This window comes from Homo sapiens, chromosome 16 (assembly GCF_000001405.40).
Source record: "Homo sapiens chromosome 16, GRCh38.p14 Primary Assembly".
Lineage (NCBI taxonomy): Eukaryota > Metazoa > Chordata > Mammalia > Primates > Hominidae > Homo > Homo sapiens.
This window is the reverse complement of record NC_000016.10, coordinates 47139002-47162768: the sequence shown is the minus strand read 5'-3', so window position 1 is coordinate 47162768 and position 23767 is coordinate 47139002. Positions and strand designations below refer to the sequence as shown.

At 40.0% G+C, this 23767-nt stretch overlaps 2 protein-coding genes, 1 long non-coding RNA gene and 1 pseudogene across 10 annotated transcripts in view, besides 5 other annotated features; 3 read left to right on the top strand and 1 right to left on the bottom strand.

Moving 5' to 3' along the window:
* ITFG1 (integrin alpha FG-GAP repeat containing 1) overlaps positions 1-8378 on the top strand; it is a 306856-nt gene extending 298478 nt beyond the window's left edge. The window contains exons 15-18 of one of the 2 annotated variants that reach the window (NM_001305002.2): positions 105-229; positions 937-1019; positions 3835-3896; positions 6991-8378. In NM_001305002.2, coding sequence (NP_001291931.1) covers positions 105-229; positions 937-1019; positions 3835-3896; positions 6991-7001 — 281 coding nt within the window. In that variant the 3' untranslated portion in view covers positions 7002-8378. Of the gene's footprint in view, positions 1-104; positions 230-936; positions 1020-3778; positions 3897-6990 lie in introns of both variants that reach the window. The other variant, NM_030790.5, reaches the window with a different exon arrangement.
* On the bottom strand, positions 22-18701 carry ITFG1-AS1 (ITFG1 antisense RNA 1). Of its 2 annotated transcripts, NR_110903.1 has the most exons (5): positions 18275-18701; positions 8973-9137; positions 5165-5214; positions 1179-1220; positions 22-218 (listed from the first exon to the last, which is right to left on the bottom strand). It is a non-coding gene; the product is annotated as an ITFG1 antisense RNA 1 (long non-coding RNA). The 2 variants fall into 2 exon arrangements; NR_110904.1 differs by lacking the exon at positions 8973-9137.
* Positions 12189-12680, top strand: RPL23AP72 (ribosomal protein L23a pseudogene 72; annotated as a pseudogene).
* Positions 18294-18623: a silencer, noted in NCBI's record as "silent region_7450". NCBI's record gives its function as "represses an Ori minimal core promoter by ATAC-STARR-seq in GM12878 lymphoblastoid cells {active_cell/tissue: GM12878}" and the evidence as "EXISTENCE:reporter gene assay evidence [ECO:0000049][PMID:35858748]".
* Positions 18684-19523: a silencer, noted in NCBI's record as "silent region_7449". NCBI's record gives its function as "represses an Ori minimal core promoter by ATAC-STARR-seq in GM12878 lymphoblastoid cells {active_cell/tissue: GM12878}" and the evidence as "EXISTENCE:reporter gene assay evidence [ECO:0000049][PMID:35858748]".
* The window catches only part of NETO2 (neuropilin and tolloid like 2), a 66243-nt gene continuing 61299 nt past the window's right edge, over positions 18824-23767 (top strand). For all 6 annotated transcript variants that reach the window (XM_006721291.2, NM_001201477.2, XM_006721289.2 and 3 more), the window contains exon 1: positions 18824-19190. In XM_006721291.2, the coding sequence (XP_006721354.1) occupies positions 19157-19190 (34 nt within the window). In that variant the 5' untranslated portion in view covers positions 18824-19156. The remainder of the gene's footprint in view (positions 19191-23767) is intronic.
* Positions 19694-19843: a silencer, noted in NCBI's record as "silent region_7448". NCBI's record gives its function as "represses an Ori minimal core promoter by ATAC-STARR-seq in GM12878 lymphoblastoid cells {active_cell/tissue: GM12878}" and the evidence as "EXISTENCE:reporter gene assay evidence [ECO:0000049][PMID:35858748]".
* Positions 20671-20720: a silencer, noted in NCBI's record as "silent region_7447". NCBI's record gives its function as "represses an Ori minimal core promoter by ATAC-STARR-seq in GM12878 lymphoblastoid cells {active_cell/tissue: GM12878}" and the evidence as "EXISTENCE:reporter gene assay evidence [ECO:0000049][PMID:35858748]".
* Positions 20731-20820: a silencer, noted in NCBI's record as "silent region_7446". NCBI's record gives its function as "represses an Ori minimal core promoter by ATAC-STARR-seq in GM12878 lymphoblastoid cells {active_cell/tissue: GM12878}" and the evidence as "EXISTENCE:reporter gene assay evidence [ECO:0000049][PMID:35858748]".

The following is a 23767-nucleotide window of genomic DNA, read 5'->3' as shown; positions in this document are numbered from 1 at the left end:
ATACATTCCAGTACCTAAATTTTTAACATTTTATCATTTTAATATTTGATGGGAGCAATGTTTCCAGAGATGTTTTTAATTTTTTTTTAATTGAATAACTCTAGCTGGCCAACTCAGCCAATCCGCACATTTAGCTCTCCAACTACCATACAACGTGCTTGGTTTAGGTCGGAGCGCAAATTTTCTTGACCATCTCTACGTTGGTATTCCCCGTCCATCTGGAGAAAAAGTGAGTAAAAATTCATTTTGTTTACAATTAATCTATGTTTTAATATTCACTATTTAAGTATTTAAATTAAATAATTTGAACCTAATTGAATTTGAATTCAAATAAACCAAATATTTTTATTCCCTTTAAAGAATAAAGAAAAATTTATTGGTAGTGACCTAAGCTTATCTTACTTAGAGCACATCATGATTTTAAGATACCGTGTAGTTTTTCCCTCTCCTCTCCCATAAACGTCACCTATCCCTCTATCCTGCTTTTTCATCCTAACATTTTTCACCACCTAACGTGTACATAAATATTTTAGTAACATAAATAATATTATTATACATATGTGTATTATTTATATAATATGTAAAATCATATTATTTTACTTGCTTTGTTTATTGTCAGTCTCAATTTGAATTTTAGCTCCAAGCAGCATTTGTACATAGCCCTTTGAACAGTGCCTGCTACGTAAGTGTCTAATAAATATTTGTTGAATGAATGAATTCATAAAACACAAATATAATCTTTCCCAAAAAGATGAGAAAATTTTCCAACAGATGGCACAAAAGCCTTATTTTTGGCTTAATATTGGTAAACATAGCTTAATCCATACCTAGAATTTGAATTTCTCAAAGTAGCTAGATTTTTCATTATTTATTTAGAATAATAATTGTGTTTTTTAAATGTGCTGAATGTTAAATGTTCTTAAATTCTTCTTCCAGTCTATACGAAAACAAGAGTGGACTGCAATCATTCCAAATTCCCAGCTAATTGTCATTCCATACCCTCACAATGTCCCTCGAAGGTAATGTACTTGCTTGAACCGATTTGGTAAAGACACTGCTAACTCTGAATTATACATACAGTGATGTCTTTTAAGCTCTCTCATATTCCTGCTGTGTTCCCATGAGTGCCCATCCCTTAATTTGCTTACGGCAAACTTTAAATGACTAAACATACTTACATAAAAGGTCCCAGACATTTTTCATGAAGAACAAATTCAATCCTATTAGAAAAACAGGAGGTTAACTAATTAGGGATTTATATGTATTCTGCTTAAATAAACTGCTCTTCAGTTTACTAGTTATAAATTCAAACTTTCAGGATACTAAATCTTTGTATAAAGCACTAATCTTTTAAATAAATTATTTGAGAAGTAGTATATATCCCACAGTGGTTGGGCACAAATTTTGGAGTTAAATAGATGTAGGCTAAAATGATTCAGCTCCATTGCTGGCTGACTGCAAGAGTAGGAGCCAGTCCTTTGTCCTCTCCAAGACTCACTTTCTGCATCTGAGGGTGAAATATACTTAACACAGTGCCAAGCATGTGGTAAGCGAATGGTAGGTATTTTTATCCTTATTAACAGAATACATTCATTTCATAATACAGCATTTAACTTTAAATCCTTAAATTTTATTCATTTTTATTTAAATTCCTAGATTGATTCTATTCCTTTTAAATTAGGCGATAAAAGTATTCACTAACATTTAAATTTCATAGGGAAAAATATGCTAGACAAATATCAATATGAGAAAATAACCAAAGAGAAATGGTGAATTTATCTATGAATATGTAACCAGTGGGGTCCCCTGCTTGTTACATTCCCTCTGAAAATACCAGCTTCATCATTCTTTATTAAACATCTCGATCGAATGTATTGATTGCCAAAACCAGCTTATGCCACTTCATGACCTGACTCTGTGCATCTCTATTCAGTGAAGTCACACTGAAATCAGTTATGGTAGGAGAATCTACTCCATGAAAATTGGCAAGTACCATAAACAAGGCTTCCCGAACCCCTCTCTACCTCAGAGCCAGTTTACCAGCATACCAGCAGATGCATTTTATGGTAAATTAATGGGCTTCAGAACCAAACTGCTTAAGAAAATAAACTTTATCACAGCCTTATGCTTGGAATAAGATGACATCATTGAAACAGTTATAGTCCTGGTTCAGATTTTTTTTAATGAGCCTGTATTGTATGTTTGTGTTAGTTTTCTATAGATGAAATTTACAGTAAAACTAGAAAATCTGGACCATGAGTAGGAAACTATATAAAGTACGGTACTTCTATACAGCTCAGTAGCATGATTTTTTTTCACTGCCACGGACATAGAACAGTCTCTTAAGATGGAGTGGTAAGCAAAAAACAATAACAACAACAACAAACAAAAGAAGCAACAGCAAAATGTAGAAGAGTATGTATAATAAGCAGCCATTGTGATTTAAAAAGAAGCCATCTATACATACATGTTCATACATGTATAAAATATCTCTGAAAGGATATGCAGGAAACTGGTAAGAGTGACTGCCTCTGAGGAGAAAACTGAGGATTGACTTTTGTCTTTTTTTTTTTTTTTTTTTACCAAAACACTTACATTCCTGATTTGTTAAAAATCTATTTTAAAAGTAGAACTACCAAAAACATCTCATAAAAGAACTGTTTTCTTAAGTATGAGTATAACACTAAGAGTAGCTTTCAACTAATTAACAGTATTTGTTTTCTTAAGGTTTACTTACTCTTCTGAATTTCCAGAAAATTATACCATAGCTTTTTTCCGTAATCTCAACATTTTTCATGTTTCTCTTACTCTTTCCAAAGAAATGTTCTTTTCAAATTTATGTACATAATAAAAACCAAATTGATTTTAGTTTTTGAGGTGTATTTTGAGGTTATTGACTAGAAGCTAACTTATGGATCAATAAATTTTAATTATCCCAGAATAAATCAATAGCTACTTGCTATTTACCAGAACAGTCTTACCTTTATTAAACTTTTAAAATAAAAATATAGCCATTACCTATTTCTAGGAAGAACAAAAAGTTATGTGTATATAACAACCTTCACACTTGGTGATACAGTCCTTAGTTTTAGGCTTTCAGGGTGTGCAAATGCTATATTACATGGACTGTTTTAGAAGGAAAGAACTAGTTCTGTTTACTAAAGACCTCTAGTCTGTATATTGCCATTAACAGTGAGGGACTAAAGATGATTTTGTAAGTGATCTGAACCTAAAAGTCATTGTAGTAATGTAAACACTCCAACATGATATAAAAATTATAGAAGTTTTGCACAAGCCATCAACATTTATGTTTTACTTGGTCACATTATATATGTGACACAGGTCAAAAATAAGATGATACAGAAGGCTTCTAGGATCATGTGACTACCTTGCTTTAGAGTTCAGGTTTTCAAATTAAGCAGGTAAATCAAGATGTAAAAAAGATGTCTATGATTATCCAAAGTACCCTTGGATATGTTTACCTAAAAATAATTCTCATAGGATCAAACTTGGAAAATGAAAAATATTGAAATATCTCATCAAAAATTCTATTTCAGTTGTCTAGGTAAAATATAAACTGCAGAATCATCAATATTCTCAGCACTATCTGATTTTTAATTGTTTTTGTTTTATTTATAATGAATGGACTGATGAATGAATGGTTTAATGAATACATTGACTGTTTAATTAATAAGCTATTTTGCTTTGGGGTCTCAATATAACTTTGTTATTTTTAAATAAAATTTGTAATTTTAATTTGTTCTGTTTTTATCTACAGTTGGAGTGCCAAACTGTATCTTACACCAAGTAATATTGTTCTGCTTACTGCTATAGCTCTCATCGGTGTCTGTGTTTTCATCTTGGCAATAATTGGCATTTTACATTGGCAGGAAAAGGTTTGTTCATTTAAAGGAAGCATTAATTTTGGTTAATTTATTCTAGTAATACATACATTGCTCTTTAAAAACACTATATTTATTTTAAACTTTTTTCATATGACTAGAATTTCATCATTTTTCAAGTTCTGTTCAAAGCATCATTTTATTGATGATAATTTCTTTTATCCCTGGAAGTTACTAATGTCTCCTATCAATTCATACAAATCACAAGAGATGTCTACTTTAAAAGTTTGATGCAGTACGGTAGTAATAAAGTGATCAACCGGAAATCAAAAGGCATTTAGAAACAATTTCATAATGACCTGAAAAATAATAATGATTTTAAAAAATGAACGTGTGTTCAGTATGTACTGATAAAGCCATGGACATTCTTTGGCTAGGATTATCAGCTATCTCTTTGAAAAGAATTAGAGTGAAAAGAGGTTAAATTATTTTCTTGAGGTTTAGGTGGAAGGTAACAACTGAAGCAATAAACAGCCAGGCATGGTGGCTCATGCCTGTAATCCCAGCACTTTGGGAGGCCAAGGTGGACAGATTGCTGGAGCTCAGGAGTTTGAGACCATCCTGGGCAACATGATGAAACCCCGTCTCTACAGAATACACAAAAATTAGCCAGGCACCATGATGCAAGCCTGTAATCTCAGCTACTCAGGAGGCTGAGGTCGGAGAATCACCTGAGCCCAGAAAGTTGAGGGTACAGTGAGCTGCGATTGTACCACTTCACTCCAGCCTGGGCAAAAGGAGTGAGACCCTGTCTCAAAAAAAGAAAAAAGCCATAAACATCTTTTTCATCTATCAAGTATTCTTTGCATTAAACTGATTTCTGTTCTTTAGTATAATACTCTAAATAATAATTGAAAACAAAACTCCCAAATATGTAAAAGATTTTTATGCAAAGAAAAAAGAGGCTATCACTGTAAATTAGCAGTTTAGATATATGTGAAAAAGCTAGTTTCTATTTATATATGGGTTCCAATCAATGCCCTCAAAAAAGGGCTGCTTTGTGGCCCCAAAGAAAGGTGTTTTTCTTTTTTTGCACCTACACTCTGGATTGACATGCCATCATAATCATTTTTTGCTAGAATTACCGTGTTTGTTCTTTTAACATATGAAAAAGAACATATTAGTTGTTCTATAAATGCTCATAGGCTTGTCACTTTTAAAAAATCACTCCTTTACATATCAAAAACAGTAACATGAAGTTACATATTCAATTAACCTTAAGATTGCAACTTAAGAGTAAGATCAAGGACAACCATACATACTTGGTCCAGAAGTATCAGAATATCATCTGAAAGATTCCACAGTTCTTGACCTGTGAAGCAAAGGAAATGAATTTCATTAATTCCTCAGTAGATCTGATTACAGCATAAACATTGCGTGCTTATAACAATAATTATGCAGTGGCCAAAAATGAAAGTTTTAAGTACAAGTATATATTTGACTATATATATACTGTATCTCCTGTGGCACTGTGGTATCTCAAAGAGGTAGAACCTCTTTAACCACTTTTTTACTTAAGCAGGCTGGCTCCTTCTACCATTTTCTCAATGCAGGCTTTCCCCAGTGTCTGCCCCTGGCCCTCTTCTTTCAACACTTTCCCTGCCAATTTCATCTAAAATCATGGCTTCAGATATCCCCAGCTCTCATCTCTAAAGGTCCTTCCCCATTTCCAACTGTCACCATGATAGCTCAACCTAGATGACTTACAGCACCTCAAAACCAGCATTCTAAAGCTTCATCTCTCTTACTTAACCTACAAGATTTCATCACTTGCCTATGGACTCTGCCTCTGTAAGAAGTTCTACAGCTGACTCCACTTCTACATTCCTACTGCACTGCCCCTTCTTACATCCTACTTGGTCTCTTTCTTTCCGTTCTCTCCCCTTTCCATTCTCTCCCCTTTCCATTCCATTTAGCACACTGCTGCCAGTGATTCATTCTGTTTAGCCTTCATCATGTCACTCCCCTGCTGAAAAAGCTCTAGTGAATATCCATTGCCTTTTATGTATAAAATCCTTGGCCTGGCCTGCATATGACTTCCATGTGACTCCACAGTCGTATTTTTTACCAGTTGCTTTCACATATCCGTGCTCCTTCCAGCCTTCTCATGATTGATCATGTTGTAACCCCAGCTTGGAGTGAATACCACTCTCCCCATTTCCATACTTTCAAATGCTTTCCCTGTCTTTTCAAAGCTTTCCCTTTCCTCACCCGGATCTAGAAGTAGTCTCTTAGACTTGGTAACATTTTTCACTTTTTATCTTGAACTACAGTTATACAATATGTTTTGCATTTGTCTTTTTGGAGAACAAGATACAAAACGGAGGTTTTTTTAATATTAAAATAGCAAACACAGTATTGGTATTGGGAGTATTAGAAGCAAAGGGCCAATGAATATCTGCTAAATTGACAAGTTAATGAAAAAATAATTAGTACATTAGTACTCTGTCACCCAGGCTGGAGTGCAGTGGTGCAATCTTGACTCACCGCAACTTCCGCTCCTGGGTTCAAGCGATTCTCCTGCCTTAGCCTCCCAAGAAGCTGTGATTACAGGTGCCCACCACCACACTCAGCTAATTTTTGTATTTTTTTGGTAGAGACGGGGTTTCACCATGTTGGCCAGGCTGGTCTCGAATTCCTCACCTCAAGTTATCTGCCCTCCTTGGCCTCCCAAAATGCTGGGATTACAGGCATGAGCCACCACCACACCCAGCCATTAGATTTGTTTATTAACATCATTGTTAAAAATGACAGAAAAATGCAATCATTGATTCATCCTTATAGAATCTAATACTTATTCCTATTTTCAAGTAGATAATAAATGATAAGAAGCTAAGTATTTAAGGACCCTAAGTATTTAATGTGCCTTAAGTATTCAAGTATTTATTGTTTTTTAATCAATTAGATCATTAATTATAAAATAGCTACTATAAACTACAAAAATACTAGGACTGTTGAATTAGGAAATCATATCTATTATCTGCTAATTGCTGGAGACTTTTAAAAATGAATCACTGTGTATTTCAGAAATGAGTCTTTTCATAACATCTTTCTACCATTTATAAACGAGTCTAAAATTCTTTTTCAGAAAGCAGATGATAGAGAAAAACGACAAGAAGCCCACCGGTTTCATTTTGATGCTATGTGACTTGCCTTTAATATTACATAATGGAATGGCTGTTCACTTGATTAGTTGAAACACAAATTCTGGCTTGAAAAAATAGGGGAGATTAAATATTATTTATAAATGATGTATCCCATGGTAATTATTGGAAAGTATTCAAATAAATATGGTTTGAATATGTCACAAGGTCTTTTTTTTTAAAGCACTTTGTATATAAAAATTTGGGTTCTCTATTCTGTAGTGCTGTACATTTTTGTTCCTTTGTGGAATGTGTTGCATGTACTCCAGTGTTTGTGTATTTATAATCTTATTTGCATCATGATGATGGAAAAAGTTGTGTAAATAAAAATAATTAAATGAGCAGGAATTTTTGTGTCCACTTGACTTGGTCTTGCTTCTTATTCTAATGATGCAAATTATACTTTTGTGAATATATCACGGAGTCATTAGGCATTCAGCTTCATCACAGCAGGTCAGGGGTCTCACTGATGGCATACAATATAGTGATCGGGTACTCTGACTTGGTAGCACAGTAAGACAGACTTGCCTTAAACTCCTAATTCAACCACTTACAAAGTCATTGTTTGAACTTGGCTCTTGTTTAACCTCTGTAAACCTCAGTTTTCTTGTTTATTCAGTGGGGCTAATACTTGAGTTACTGTAAACATTAAATGGGATGATGTATGTGAAGTGCTTAGCTTGGTGCCTAGCACAGAGTAAGTGGTCAATATGTGGTAGTTGTCATTATTAATATTTTAGATGATCTTATTAGACTTATACATCTAATTATAGAAATACATAGACTTGATAGAATTTTATTTTCAGGCATGAAGAAATATTCTTTGGAAAAGCTAAATTTTTGGTGATTGACATAAAGATTTACTTGCTCATATTAACTAAAAATTATAGTACTCTCCAAGAATTAATGTGCCCTAAAAATTTTCCTCCAAAAACTTATCCTTATCATGTGATAATGAAGAACATTTGATTTCTTGAAAGGAAACTGCTGTAGGCAGCATCTGGGAATGCAAATCTTCAATCACATTTCTATTCTCAAACACTTGGAGAAGTCTATAATTTACATTCAGACTTCAATGCAAATTTTGTATTGTGAACTTCACATTTCCAAAAAGTTACTTTAAAAAGACTTTAAGACTGAAAAAAAAAAGTTTATCAATGCTAATAATTTTCTAGTATGCAAATGGACATGTGATGCCTATAAAACACAAAAATTTCTCTGAAAACAATTTTGTTCTTATTTTTTTCTTTATAGTTCACTGAGATTGGCATGTGTTTTTACTTTGTATCTAAGCATGTTAACATGTCTTCTTAATAAATATTCCTTATTGAAACAAAGTATTTCAGTGAGTTTTTAAATAATTATTTTAGAGCATGAAGAGACCTTAGAGCTTATGAAAGCATTTATCTGGACTGGGAGACCAGGGTAAGGTGACTTGCCCACTGCCTCTCTGTGGGTCACGGGCAAGATAGGATTCTCCTGACTGTAATACTCAGTTAAATTCACTAGTTATCAGCCCACAGCACTGTCCCAGGCACTACGTGACACTTTCTCAAAGATAATTGGGATCATTATTGATATAGCCTGAGTCTTCAAACTCATGTGAATCAGAGTTTACAAGACAAATAAAATGTTAATGACAATTAAAACTACAATCAGTGACATTAATACTGCTTCTGTATTTCCAAATGCAACTTTAATATCATTTATTAAGGGACAGCAGGTAAAAAATGTATCACAACATTGAGAATCACTAACAAAAACCTTTGTTTTGATTTTGAATATTGCAGTGGAAAGAGAGCAAGGCTTTGAAGTCAGACCAGTCTGGATTCAGGGCCCAGCTCCCCGATTTCATGACTCTGAATCAGTCACTTCTTTGAACTTTGGTTTCTTCATCTGTAAAACAAAGGTAATGAGTGATACCTACCTTCAAGGACTGCTCTGAGTCTGAAATGGCAGTTTGTACACAGAAGATGCTTGATAAGTGCTGTTTTTCTTCCTTCCCATTTCCCATGACAGTGACAAACTAACAGTTATTTTCTGAGATTTCTTTCCCACTGACTATATGTTAGTGTTATCCATCCTTGGGGAGCTAGGAAGAGTAATTAAGAATTCATAATCATTTTGAAGATACTGTAAATATGTTAATACACCATTTATTTGAACTAGCCCTTTACATTTCCCCATCCTTGCAAGTAGCTAGAATACCTCATAAAAAGAAACAAAAACTTAAATCATGTCCCGCAGACCTCAATGGTATACCTGGGATTGATCTAGGATACTTAAGGGCTTACTCCTCAGGATAAAGGTGAATTAAAACCAGCCCTTGTGATTACCTGCACCTGACCAGTTATTTTAAAAGGCTAATTAAATAGACAGTAGATTAGGCAGTGCTTTTGATCCACAACCGTACAAGGGAAAGGAAGGAAACAAAATTAGGCAGAAAAATTGAACTGTGATGCATTCTCAATGAAATGCCTCATACAACCCTACATCGAGTTCTGAGATAGGATGACCTTTCCTATCTCCTAACCTGTCCCAAGTTAGAATATGAAGGCTGGGCCTTTACATTCCCACATTCATCAGTTATAGGGCACAGGCTGCCCCAAAGGCCTCTAACAAGAAAAGGAAAACTGGTACAAATAACCAGTATCAAAAATGAAAAGGGTATAACTACAGATAATCTATTTATTAAAACTAGGAAGATTTTGAGAATAACTTTATACCAATGTGCCGAGACCAGCTCAGTCGGGGAGATCCTAACCCAGCGGCACTAGAGGAATTAAAGACACACAGAAGTATAGAGGTGTGAAGTGGGAAATCGGGTCTCACAGCCTTCAGAGCTGAGAGCCCCAACAGAGATTTACCCACGTATTTATTAACAGCAAGCCAGTCATTAGCATTGTTTCTATAGATACTGGATTAACTAAAAGTATCCCTTATGGGAAACGGGATTAACTAAAAGTATCACTTATGGGAAACAAAGGGATGGTTTGGCTAGTTATCTGCAGCAGGAACATGTCCTTAAGGCACCGATCGCTCATGCTATTGTTTGTGGTTTAAGAAGGCCTTTAAGCGGTTTTCCGCCCTGAGTGGGCCAGTTGTTTCTTGCCCACATTCTGGTAAACCCGCAACCTTCCAGTGTGGGCGTTATGGCCATCATGAACACGTCACAGTGCTGCAGAGATTTTGTTTATGGCCAGTTTTGGGGCCAGTAGATGGCCAGATTTTGGAGGGCCTGTTCCCAACACCAGTGTATCTGAAAGTTTATACAAAATGGACCAATTCCTAGGAAAATATCACCAAAACATACTCAAAAAGAAACAAAACCCTAAATATTCCTTCTAGTGGATGCTGTGGTGTAGTGTCCAGATCCGGCATCAAGAATAAAGGACTTATTATCCTAATTTCTGGGAGTGTCATCACTGTTCATCTGCCAGCCTCATCTGGAGAGCAGACTCACCCAAGATCAGGCCCCTCTTCTTAACATAAAAATCCTAAGTGTTCATAAACTAAAAAGTAAAAACCGCCAGACCTGTAAGGAGAAACAGACAAACTCACGATTTAAGTGGGAGACATCAACACTTTTCTACAGTAACTGAAGGAAAAAGTAGGCAGGAAATCAGAAAGCTTAGAGCTGACCTGAAAAGCACTCAGTCAATCTAACCTAGTGGCTATTTATATAACACTCTAACCAACAGCAGCAAAATAGTCTTTTTCAGAGCACATGGAACACTTACCAAGATAGACCATATTCTGGGCCATAAAACAAGTCCTACCAAATCTAAAAGAATAGAAATCATACAAAGTAGATTATCAGACTATAATAGAATTGAACTAGGGAGATCCATGGAAAATACCCAGATATTTTAAATAACCATAGGGTCAAAGAGGAAGTCTCAAAAGGAAATTTTAAAATATTTTGAGCCAAATGAAAAATACAATGTAACAAAATTTGTAGGAGGCAGTGCTGGGGGGTGGTATTTATAACACTAAATGCACATATTAACAAAGAAGAAAGGTGATGAAAGAAACCAAGGAAGACTTCAATGGAAAGACAGTGTGTTCATGGATTAGGAGATGCCAGTACTCCCCAAAGTGATCTGTACATTTCACACCATCCCTATCAAAATCCCAGCAGTATCTTTTTGTGGACATGGACAGGATTTTGTGCAACTTATATGAAAGAGAAAATAAACTAGACTAGTTTAAAACAATGTTGAAAAAGAAGACAAAGTTGAAGAAATCAAACTATGTGACTTTAAAACTTATTATAAAGCTTGAGTAATAAAGATAGTGTGGTATTGGCAAAGAGAGACACATAGACCAATGGAATAAAATTGAGTCCAGGAATAAACTCACACAAATATAGACATTTGATGTTTGACAAAGATGTAAAAGTTACTAAGTGGAAGACAGTCTTTTCAACAAATAGTGTCAGAACAATTGATCATCTGTATTTGCCATAAATACAAAGGGCAAAGGAGAAAAAAAGAACCTTGATCTAAACCTCACACCTTACACAAAAATTAACTCAAAGTGGGTCATAAATTCAAATATAAAATGTAAAACTATAAAACTTTAAAAGAACACATAGAATGTCTTCATAGGCTAGGGGTAAGCAGAGTTCTTAGAAATGACACCAAAGTTATGATTCTTTTTAAAAACTGATAAATGTGACTTCATCTAAATTAAAAATGTTTGCTTTGACAAAGACACTTCCAAGAGAATGGACAAGCTATATATGCAAAGAAAAAAAAATTTTTTTTTTGAGATGGAGTCTTGCTCTGTCACCCAGGCTGGAGTGCAGTGGTGTGATCTCGGCTCACTGCAGCCTCTGCCTCCCAGGTTCAAGCAATTGTCCTGCCTCAGCCTCCCAAGTAGCTGGGACTACAGGTGTGTGACACCATGCCTGGCTAATTTTTGTGTTTTTAGTAAAGATGGGGTTTCACCATGTTGGTCAGGTTGGTCTCGAACTGCTGACCTCAAGTGATCCACCCGCTTCAGCCTCCTAAAGTGCTGGGATTATAGGCATAAGCCACCATGCCCGGCCAAGAAAATATTTTCAAATCACATATCCAACAACAGACTTGTATCCTGAATCTATAAAGAACTCTCAAAACTCAACAATACAAAAACTCAGACAAGATGACACCTAAGGAAGCTCCTGCCTCTCCCAAAGCTGAAACCAAAGCAAAAGCTTTGAAGGCCAAGAAGGCAGTGCTGGAAAGCATCCACAGCCACACACAAAAAGGAGTATCTGCACTTCACCCACCTTCCAGCACCCCAAAACACTACAGCTCTAGAGACAACCCAGATATCCTCAGAAGAGTGCCCCCAGGAGAAACAAGCTTCATCACTCTGCCCGATTCCCTGAGCATTGAGTGTGCCATGAAGAAGACAGAAGATAACAACACACTTGAGGTCACCGTGGATGGCAAAGCCAACAAGCACCAGAGCAAACAGGATGTGGGGAAGCTCTGCAACACTGATGTAGCCTGATCAATCAGGCCCAATGGAGAGAAGGCGTGTGTTTGACTGGCTCCTGCTTATGATGCTTTGGATGTTGCCAACAAAATTGGAATCATCTAAACTGAGTCCAGCTGGCTAATTCTAAATGGACATCTTTTCACCAGTAAAAATAAAAAACAATTTGAGTGGGCAATAATTTGAGGATACTTCACTGAAGAGGATATATAGGTAGCAAACAAGCATATGAAAAGATGTTCAACCGGATATGCCATTAGGGAAATGAATACTAAAACTATGAAGAGATACCAATACACATCTATCATGAATAAAAAGTGCTTTCATGGATAAAACAAAGAATACTGACAATTCAAAGTGCTAATGTGGATGAGGAAAAACTAGAATTTTCATATATTGCTGGTGGGGATGCAAAATAGGAAAGCCACTCTAGAGAACAGTTTGGCACTTTCTAAAATCAATTGCATTTTTATACGCCAGCATGAACAATTAGAAAATGGGATTTAAAAACAGGTAACATTTATAACAGCATCGAAAAAGTCAAGTACCTGGGAATTAGTATAACACAAGATGTAGCATACATCTCTGTCTGGTAAATTATAAAACTTCTCTGAGAAACGCTAAGGAAATTTTCAATAAATGCACATCTGTAACCATGTTAATGGACAGGAAGACTCAAAATTGTAAAGATGTCAAAGCCCTCCCAATTCCACTCATCCCAACGGGGTGTTGTGTTGCCGAGCTTGCTAAGAGGTTTCTAAAATGTACACGGAAATATAAGAGACCAAGAACAGCCAAGACAATCTTGAAAAAGAATAAGGACCTGCTCTACCAGGTAACAAAATAATAAAGTTAGGGTGATTAGGCCAGGCATGGTGGCTCACGCCTGTAATCCCAGCACTTTGGGAGGCCGAGGCGGGTGGATCATCTGAGTTCGAGACCAGCCTGGCCAACATGGTGAAACCCTGTCTCCACTAACAATACAAAAATTAGCCGGGCGTCATGGCACAAGCCTGTAATCCCAGCTACTCGGGAGGCTTGAGGCAGGAGAATTGCTTGAACCCAAGAGGCAGAGGTTGCAGTGACCCAATCATGCCATTGCACTCCAGCCTGGACAACAAGAGCGAAACTCTGTCTCAAGAAAGAAAAAGTTAGGGTGATTAACAGAGTGCGGTATTGGTGAAGAGATAGACAGACCAATGGAACATATTAGAGAGTGCAGAGAAAGACTCATACACATGGAAGTCTGATTCAGGAAGGAGGTAACACCACAGAGCAGAGGAATATGAAAGGCCTTTTAACAATTTTTATTATTTAACAAACATTACCAAATAACTGCATCAAGAATTTACACTTATGGTTTCATACTACACCAATAAACTAGCATTTGTTTCAGCTTTTAGTAAATAGGTTTTTTTTTTTGGAGGAGGGGGTGTTGATTTCAATGAAAGAACACCAGGTTAGAAAGTAAATAGGTTTAAGCAAACATATCTCTTTTCAACATGGGATTTTGGTTTTAAAGAAAAAAAAAAGATACCATATATGTTAGTAACTTTATTCTAAGAAATACACAGTCATATGTCACTTAATGACAGACATACATTCTAAGAAATGCATCATTGTGCAAACTTCATAGAGTGTCCTTACACAAACCTAGATGGTGTAGCCTATTACACACCTAGGCTCTACAGTTTATCGTATTATTCCTATGCTACAAACCTGTACAGCAAGTGACTGTACTGAATAGTGTAGGCAATTACTTCCTACACACAATGGTAAGTATTTGTATATCTAATGATATCTAAACATAGAAAAGGCACAGTAAAAATATGGTATTATAAGCTTATACAGTTGTGTATGTGGTCCATCATCCACCAAAAGGTCATTATGCAGCACATGACTAAAATTAGGGCATTTCTTAGTTTTTCACAATCAAAGGAAAGTAACTAATGACCAGAAATTTTCTTGACAATTTGAAATTTTCCTGGTAAAGATGAAATATTTTATATTAATAGGAAGCAATATTTCTTAAAAGCGTTCTTTAAAATTATGCTAACCAGAAATTTAGAAGTTTAGGGGACAGTGTTACTGAAAGAATTCTTTGACCCCCTGACAGCTCTTCTTCAATATCAATAACACAGGAATGATTGTGGCTCTTGCATTTTATGGGCTGAATTGTGTTTCCCGCAAATTCACATGTCGAAGCCCTATCCCTCTATATAACTTTTTGGAGACAGGGCCTTTAAGGAAATAGTTAAGGTTAAATGAGGTCAGAAGGGTTGGACCCTAATCCAATAGGACTGGTGTCCTTATTAGAAGAGGAAGAGACCAGGGGTGCACACAGAAAGAGTAAAAGGCCGCTGAAGACACAGTGAGAAGGTAACGGTCCGCAAGCCAGGAGAGAGGCCTCAGCAGAAACCAGCCTCCAGAACTGTGAGAAAATACATTTCTACACTATAAGCCACCCAGTCTATAGCTACACTGTAATTCTGCCATGGCAGCCTGAGCAGACTAACAGAATGCACTTTTTAAAAATTACAATTTTCCTCTCTTCCTTCCCTAAAAAAAACCCTACAGTTGTGTAATAAACACTGAAATCTTCATATACTGAGAACCCACCTGATTGTTTTTCACTAAATGTCACCATTGCTGTAGCCATATTTGCACCCTGTAAAGATCCATATTATATTTTACTACAAATAGTTTCTGCACATAAAAGTTTGGTTCTTTTTAAATTCCTCTACCTTCCTTAGTTATAATCTCTGTATTAGCTGGTTCAGCCTGCCACAACAAAATACCATAGACTGGGTAGCTGAAACAACAGACATACTTCCTCACAGTTCTGGAGGCTAAAGTCTCAGATCAAGGCAGGAGCCAATTCAGTTTCTGATGAGGATGCTCTTCCTGGCTTGCAGATGACTGCCTTCTTGCTGTGTCCTCACATGGCCTTTCCTGGTGCCTGTGCATGAAGAGACAGCAGGCTCTCTGATATCTCTTCCCATCAGGACACTATTTCTTTCAGATCAGGGACCCACCCATACGGCCTCATTTAACCTTAATTACTTCCCTCAAGGCCCTCCTCTTCAAATACAGCCACACTGTACGTTAGGGCTTCAACATATGAACTAGGAGGGGACACAGACAGTAAGTAACAATCTCCAAACGCAACAACCTGCTTTCCTCGGCTGTCATGTAATAAAATGTTAACACTCCCAAACAATAGCAAAACAGAGACACAACAAAAATCTGTTAAGTGTATAAATATTGACAATAAAATGCTTCCTTTTAAAAAATGGTTCATTCAGCCGGGCGTGGTGGCTCACACCTGTAATCCCAGCACTTTGGGAGGCCGAGGCAGGCAGATTACCTGAGGTCGGGAGTTCGAGATCAGCCTGACCAACATGGTGAAACCCCGTTTCTACTAAAAATACAAAAAAAAAAAATTAGCCGGGCATAATGGCAGGCGCCTGTAATCCCAGCTACAAGGGAGGCTGAGGCAGGAGAATCGCTTGAACCTGGGAGGCGGAGGTTGCAGTGAGCCATTGCACTCCAGCCTGGGTGACAGAGTGAGACTCCGTCTCAAAAAAAAAAACAAGGTTCATTCTAGTAACAAGTAAATGCCATGCAATACCATTCAAGTACTACATGGGACTTGGTCAGAGAAAACCCAGTTCAAACTATAGGAATGATTGTGAGGAGTTGGAGAGCCTGAATGGATGCCTGGGAGACTGGCAGGATGCAAGGAAAGCCGAGCCCTCAGTCACCTGGAAACTGCCAGGTAATCTGGGAACAGACTGGGTGCTACTGGGTGATCTTCCAGGAAAATAATAATTCAAATACAGAACCCAAGTGAGAGATATGAAAACGCTTCCCTTTTGATTTGGCTAACATATGGCCACACAGTAGTCTCAGCTATGATCTGTGCTTTCCTACATTCCTCGAAAAATCGACTGCAGACGATTCCACCAGCACATCTAAAAAAGATAGGTGTCTTAAAAGGGAGCCACAAAATGAACATTCCCAATTGGAATCTACTCCCAAGCCAACATTCTAGAGGAAAAAAGATTTTTTAGGTTTAATCAAAATAATACAAGTAAGAGCTTCTAAAGTAAACGTAGAAGTATTACAGATCTACTTTTGGAATTCTTGTGGTTGCTCTAATCTCTCCCCTTTTATTACAACCTCAACTGCCAGATGAAATCTTCCCAGAACTCCATTACTGCACTATTAAAAGTAATCATTTACCTAACTAGCATTTGAGCACCTATCTCCATAATCAAAGCCCACCATGTCCAACCTCTTTATACCAAACACAACACTTGCCCCACGTTCCAGGCTCATCCTGCTCCCTGCCTGCTGAGCTCTTCTTCTGCCTCCTCTCCTCTCGCCACCCCAAGCATTTCCATGGTTTGTGTGTCACCTCCTTCAGGAAGTCTTCTCTGATGACATGACACGCAGATTTTTCCTTCAGTCAACAACTTCACATTAAGAAACTATTATGTTAATTTGAGAGCCCCTTCCTCTCAAATTTTTTTGGTTCACTGTTGTCTGTAACCTATACTTAATATTGTCTTCTTACTCTCCTATTCTACTAATATGCTACATCATTATTATTATTTGAGACGGAGTCTCGCTGTTGCCCAAGCTGGAGTGCAGTTCAAGCGATTCTCCTGCCTCAGCCTCCCTAGTAGCTGGGACTACAGGCGCGTGCCACCACGCCCAGCTAATTTTTGTATTTTTAGTAGAGATGGGGTTTCACCATGTCGGCCAGGCTGGTCTTAAACCTCTGACCTCGGGTGACCCGCCTGCCTCAGCCTCCCAAAGTTCTGGGATTACATGCGTGAGCCACCTTTTCATATCCGTGGGAAAAAGTTCTTAAATGTTTTATTTCCTAATTGGTTCTCGTGTGCGATCTTAACTGTAGTAGGTGGTTACCTTTAGGAACCCAAACTTACCCATCTTTTATGCCCCCATTCACAGCACATGGCAAAGGGTGAAACACCTCGATATTAATTGGTGTTAAGTATGTTTTTCCTTTGTAAATCTCATGAATTATTTATGCTTTTGTACCTTTCTTGAAGGAATACAAAGTGAGAGAGAAGAGCTTAACACCTGAAAAATGTTTCAGTTGCCTGACATTGTCTTTAGCTACAATTGGTTAGACAAACGTTTACAGAGTTCCTACTACACGCAGAGACAGGCATAAATATTCTATTATGGTAAGGCCTTGATCACGGTTGTTATCTCCAGCACCAATCATTGTCTTCTGCACATAATTAACACCCAATACGTATGTGTGGAGTGAAAAAAATGAATGCAGTCGGCCTGCCTGCAAGCAGCTGATATTTTAATGGTGTGAGGGTGAGGGAGATATAAAGGATGAACAAATAAATAAATGAGGAAGGTCATATCAGTGTGATAACCGCTGTGGAGAAAATAAAGCAGGATCATGAATACCACCAACAGCCAGGCAGTTGTTGGCAGACCTGGAGACTCCCATCAGCTGGCGAAGCTGCCCAGCGTAGTGGTTAGCTGCTAGGAGGGCAGCCCCGGGGGAGGTGCACAGCCCTGCCGCTCATTCGCTACGCGGCTCTGGACGAAGGGCTTCACCTCTCTGGCCTCGACTTTCCAATCCCCTAAAACCTACTTCATGAGGGGGAGTCTGAGGAGTTGGTACTAAAGTGCCTGTCAACCTGGCGGGCGCTAGGGAAACGCCGGCAGCGCCGCGGGTCGGGAACTCACCGGCGCGAAGGGCACGGAGAGCCTCGGGCTCCCTCTGCCGATGTCCGCGCTTCCCTGCCCAGGGTCGAGCAAGGCTGAGCTGGGCAAAGTTTTGACCTTGAATGGAGGTCTGGGGGACTAGGGACCGGCGCCCCTCTCTGTCTGCTAGGGCTGGCGGAGACCCGGCAGGCCGGCGAGGGTGCGGGGCCGAGGTGGGCGGCGCTTCCCGGGCGCCTCCGTCAGACGGGAGGCATCGAGGGCTCGGCCAGCTGCCCCGGGCGCCCTGCGCGGCGGCTGGGCACGGGCCGGTCACTGCCCCGGCGCCGGCCTCTCGGACGAGGCCGCCGCGCAGCCACGGCGAGAGGCACCCTCACTACCCCCGCGCCCAGCCGGCTCCCAGCCCTAACGGCAGCCGGCGGGGAGCGACGCCGTCCCACGGCGCGAGGCCGCGGCGGGCGCGCGAGGCGCGGCGCGGGGCGGGGCGGGGCGGGCACATGCGCACAGGCGGCGCAGCCGGCACGCGGCGCTCGCGCTCCCTCCTTAAATGAGCCTGGGCGCCCCGCGCCCGCCACTTCAGTGGATCCCGCGCCGGGGCCGCGGGCGGAGCTGCCTGCCGGTCCCGCGCCGCGCGTCCGCACTCCTCGGCCCTCGGGCGGTCGATGGGACGGGGCGCCGCGGAGCAGGAGGCGGCGCCCGTCGGGGTGCTCGGGCCGCGCGGGAGCCCACTGTGGGGCTCGGGCATGGCGGGCCGCAGGACCTGAGCTCTCCTCAGGGGAGCGGGGAGGCAGCTGCTGGCCGGCGATGGGGACGGAGTGGGGCCGTCGCCGCCGCGCCGAGCCGTGAGCGCCGAGCCACCGCCGCCGCTACCTCAGCCCTTCGCGAAGCGCCGGGCAGCTCGGGAACATGGCCCTGGAGCGGCTCTGCTCGGTCCTCAAAGGTAAGGACCGGGGCTGGGGCCACGGACGGCGCCCCCTGCGGGCCGAGGCTGGCGCGCCGCCCTGCCCGCGCCTCTGCGTCCCTTACCCGCGCCCGGGACCCGACGCGCCTCTTTGTCTGGCGGGGCTCGCGGCTACTCGGAGCGGACCGCGGGGCGCGAGCCCTGCCCGGCTCCGCCGGCTCTCCGGGCGCGCCGCTTCCGACCCCTGCGAGTCCGGCCGACGTTCGCGGGGCGCGTGTGGGAAGAGGGATCGGGTCGGGAAGGCGGCCAGGAGGCCCCTGGGCCCAGCAGGGCCCTCCGGGCTGCGCCCTCGCGCCGCTTCCGTAGAATTCCGCGCATCCCTTTGCAAAGTTGTGAGATTCCTGTCGTGGAGCGGAGGCCGCTCTTTCTCCAGATGTGATGGCAAAAAGTAATTCCACGAGAACAATAAAAGCCGCGGCCGTGACGTCGTGCAGTGGTTTTCGAATAGCCCCGCGGCGCCTGCACCTCGCGGCGGGGAACGGGGCCTGCTGGGCCAGCCGGGTCCCACCTGCTGCGGCCACGGAGGCTGCGGCACCACTGCGGGCTCCGGGGGCGGCGCGCGGGCGCCGCGGACCCGGCTTGTCCCGGCCCCCGGGGAGCGCTGCTGCTCGGGTGCTTCCCGGGACGCGGCGCTCCTCGCGCTCCGCCAGAGGTCTCAGAATTCCCCGCCGCTGGTGTTCGGTTCTTACTAATTTGTTGTACTGGGAATTAAAACAGTTGGCTTGTCCAGAGCACAGAGCTCTAAAACCTACTCCACCGGCTTTGCATTTCCCAGGAGGTGGTAATTTAGATGAAAATTTATATACATAGATAATTAGGATTGGGATACAAAGTTGCTCCTGAAACTCGGACTGAATAAATCGTCTTTTCAATTTCCAGAGGGAAAACAGCACCACCACTCAGTAAAGGACTTCCCTTTTTCCCCCTGCTGATTTAAATTGAAAGCTGACGTGTTTGTAATGTCGTAACATGTTCTTTTTTTAAAAATTTCGAGGGTACGGCTGAGGCATTATTAACGGTGTTATGTATAACTCAGCACTGTATCTTAATATTTGTAGAGTGACTTTTTTCCTGCTCCCTAACAGCACTTTTTTCAAATTTGTTTTATTAGAAAGTTCAGTGTAATTTTGCTTTTGATTTTAATTGGACACATTGTCTACTCTCCACATATTCCTAAATTCGTAATTGAGATTTCAGTAATTCGAAACGTTTAACTACCCCACTGTAAACGTATCTACAGCTTGTACTAAGGTAACCTAGGACTTTCTAGCTGATGAATATTTCACAAACCGTAAATCCGTAGTGATTTCTTTATTACAATTGAAAACAACTCTGAAATTCATCCTGTGGCTTTCATATCTCTAACTCCTAATTTTTACAGTCATTCCTGGGAAAGGAATGTTTTTACTCTTTCGTGATAAACCGTATGCACACTAGGATTTCTGATCGTGTTGCTTATCTGAATTTTCTGCCGTTGTCGGATTGCGCCCTCACTACGGTAAGGTTGTCAGCATGCTACTGACCGTGCATCCGAGAGCACCCCCGGATGAAATCGCGTAGATCTGTCACACCGCTTTACCTGCAGAACTTGATAAAATCGAGCTGGATAGGGTAGGGGCTGGTAGCGCCTCCTCCAATGGTGAAGGGATTTGCAGCGTTTCTGCCTTTGCCTTTCCCGTGGGTGCACACTGCCCTCTCTGGCCATCGTGGTGAAGCGTTGAGTGTTGTACCTTTCAGGAAAGGATTCTGGTGATGGCAGAGCTACGGTGAAAACAATATAGTGTCTGGCTTTTCTTTTTTCAGTGTTAGCCTACACTATTTTTACATGCTGGAGTATTTTTAAAGCTCAAGCTGAATTATTATTGTTGTTGCTGCTATTGGTGGCGGCTTCCTAGAGAGAAAGCAAGTTATTTTTAAAGTCGTCTGTGGTATCAACTTGTAAATGCCAATAACTGGTCTGGAAAGATTCAATAAATTGTTAACAGTAGTTGATTCTAATACGGAAATCTAGGGGATTAAAAGACAGGAATGAAGGGAAGACTGGTTTCACTGCACACCCATTTGTATCACTTGATTTTGTTTTTGTTTTTTTTTTTTACCAAACGCATGTATAATTTATTTAAAAATCAATATTTTAATTTTAAAAAGTTGCCTTTAAAAAGATACTGGCCTTTCCCATTACAAACTACTCATTGTGTGCCCCAAGGCATGAAGAAGTTTTCCTTTTATCCTATAAAGTGAATTGCTTTAACATCAAAGAGGTTCTTATCTGAAGCAGCTATTTAACATTTACATAATTGTGGATATTACCCACAGAAGCCTTGTTTGAAATATTATGGTCAGTTTCTACTAAAATAAATCAGCCATAATGAGTGTGTGAGATTTTAAGTAGAAAGTAATTTTAGTTCTTTAAGATGCCACTGATTATTCTTGTTTTACTTTCAGCCATTAAGACAAAAGAATAACCTTACTAGGCTTTTAAACCTTTCCTATGTTGTTGAAACTAAAAAATTCACTTTTAGCTGTGATCACTCTAGGCCTCACAGAATTCGAGTTAATCTTCTGTCAAGGTTAACTAAGCATTATAGTCTCATGAAAATATTACATGAGGATTATAAATCCATTTTTTGTTCTTATTCTGCACACTTGCTTCAGGAGAATCTGTTCGACTCAGCAATATTTCAAGCTGTAGAAACTGGTTAAATTTGTAATGTAACAGCAAAAATATTCCTTGGCACTGTATTTAAAAATCTTGTCTGAGACGGTGCAAGTATTAACTCGTTTTTCATTCTTACATTTCACCCAGGACTATAAACTAGTTATACAGAAATAAGTGTGGTACTGAAAAACTTGTCCTTTAATACTAAAGCCTTATTAAAAATCAACTTTTTGGCTTTTCCTTCCAGGGGTTGGGAAAAACTGTTTTAACACTGTCAATTGAAAAGTCTTATTAAATAATGGTTTTTTTGTAGTAAATCCTCAACTGCAATCTGGTTTATCTTTCATTTTGAAATTAAAATCACTATTTAGGAAAAACCCTGCATGACAAAACAAGTTGAAATCAAAGCCATTTTCAGTCCTTTTTAGAAAAGATAGAAAAATGATAGACTAGAAATAAAGTTCATATCTGAAATTTTAAAACAATAGACTACCTCCTTCTCTTGGGGTACCACCCATCCAGCACAATCTCCTATCATTTTTCAACTTACGCTCCTGTAGAATAATTATTTATACTTAGAAATACGTCTCCCTGAGGCACTGGAGATTGAAATTATTATGATCTTTGAGTTGGAAAGGAGCATCTTAAGAGGTGGTCTAATCCAATGGTTTCCAAACTTCAGAGGAACTTTTGTGAGGAAGCACTTGAAAAAAAAAGGAAAAAGGACAACAGAACAGAGTTGCTGTGATTGGTGGGAGGCCTTGCCCTCTCAGTCACCTCAAACACCAGGGTGGCTCCAAGAACTGACACTTCAACGGGTTTGTTATATTGCTTCCAAAATTACAGGGTATACTAATCTGAAAGTTCAGTCCTTTCTAATCAAAATGACATTAAGACATGTTGGTTTAAATATGCCTGGAGTAACATTGGAAATTACAGCACTAGAAGATACCAAGTAGTCTTTCAAATATGACCTGATCATGTTAGAAGGTGATGGTAGTCACTGTACAGTCAGGAGGACTGATGTGTAATTAAAATACAGCTTACAAAAGCGCCATCTCAGATCAGCTCGACTAAGGAGGAGTTTGTCACATTCTGCAGGAAAGAGAAAGCACTTCTGCTATAGAGTTACTCTTTCTTACTAAAGTGATTGGCATGTCATTAGCATATGTAGGCTGGAGTGATCCCAAAGTTCACCATCCATCTTTGTTCTTAACTAGTAAAGTATGATTGAGTTTGATTAAATTTGGGTACTTTTTTTGTTCTTTGGAACATAGTTTATCAAAAACAAGTGACTGCCATGTCAAATAGTATGTGGACTCTAATTGAACTCTGTTCTGCTGTCATTATAGGAAATGGTAATGAGCAGAGAGACCAGGTAGGTGGTTCTCTGTGTTGGATTTTAAAAGCTTTATGTTTACCACTGAGTTGCTTAACACAGGAAGATGTAGAAAGAGACACACTTAATTACTAACAAAGGTAAATTGAGCCAGCTTGAGGAAAATAACAGTGGTGGCAGGGTATCTCAGGAGGGTGGGGGGGAATCTCAGTTCTTTTCCCATCCCCTGATTTGTGCTCGCATTTAAAAAAGCAAGGTCACATGTGTGGCTACTGTTTGTTCATCCAAGATGTGTGCCTGTCAGTTACTGTGCTATGTGTTTGCGGTTACAAAGAAGATGCACTGGAGTCGCGCTCAGTCACCCCCATGTGTTCATCGTGTCTGTATTGAATACTGTTGAGGCCAGACAGTCTTTTAGGCTGTGGAGATGCATCAGTGAATCAGACAGACAAGGCCCTTCTTTCTAGTGAGAAGAGACAGACAACCAACAAGACTCAAAATACCAGGTAATATAATAATGAAGTAAAGCAAAATGAAGGAGAAAATGTAGCGCTTATT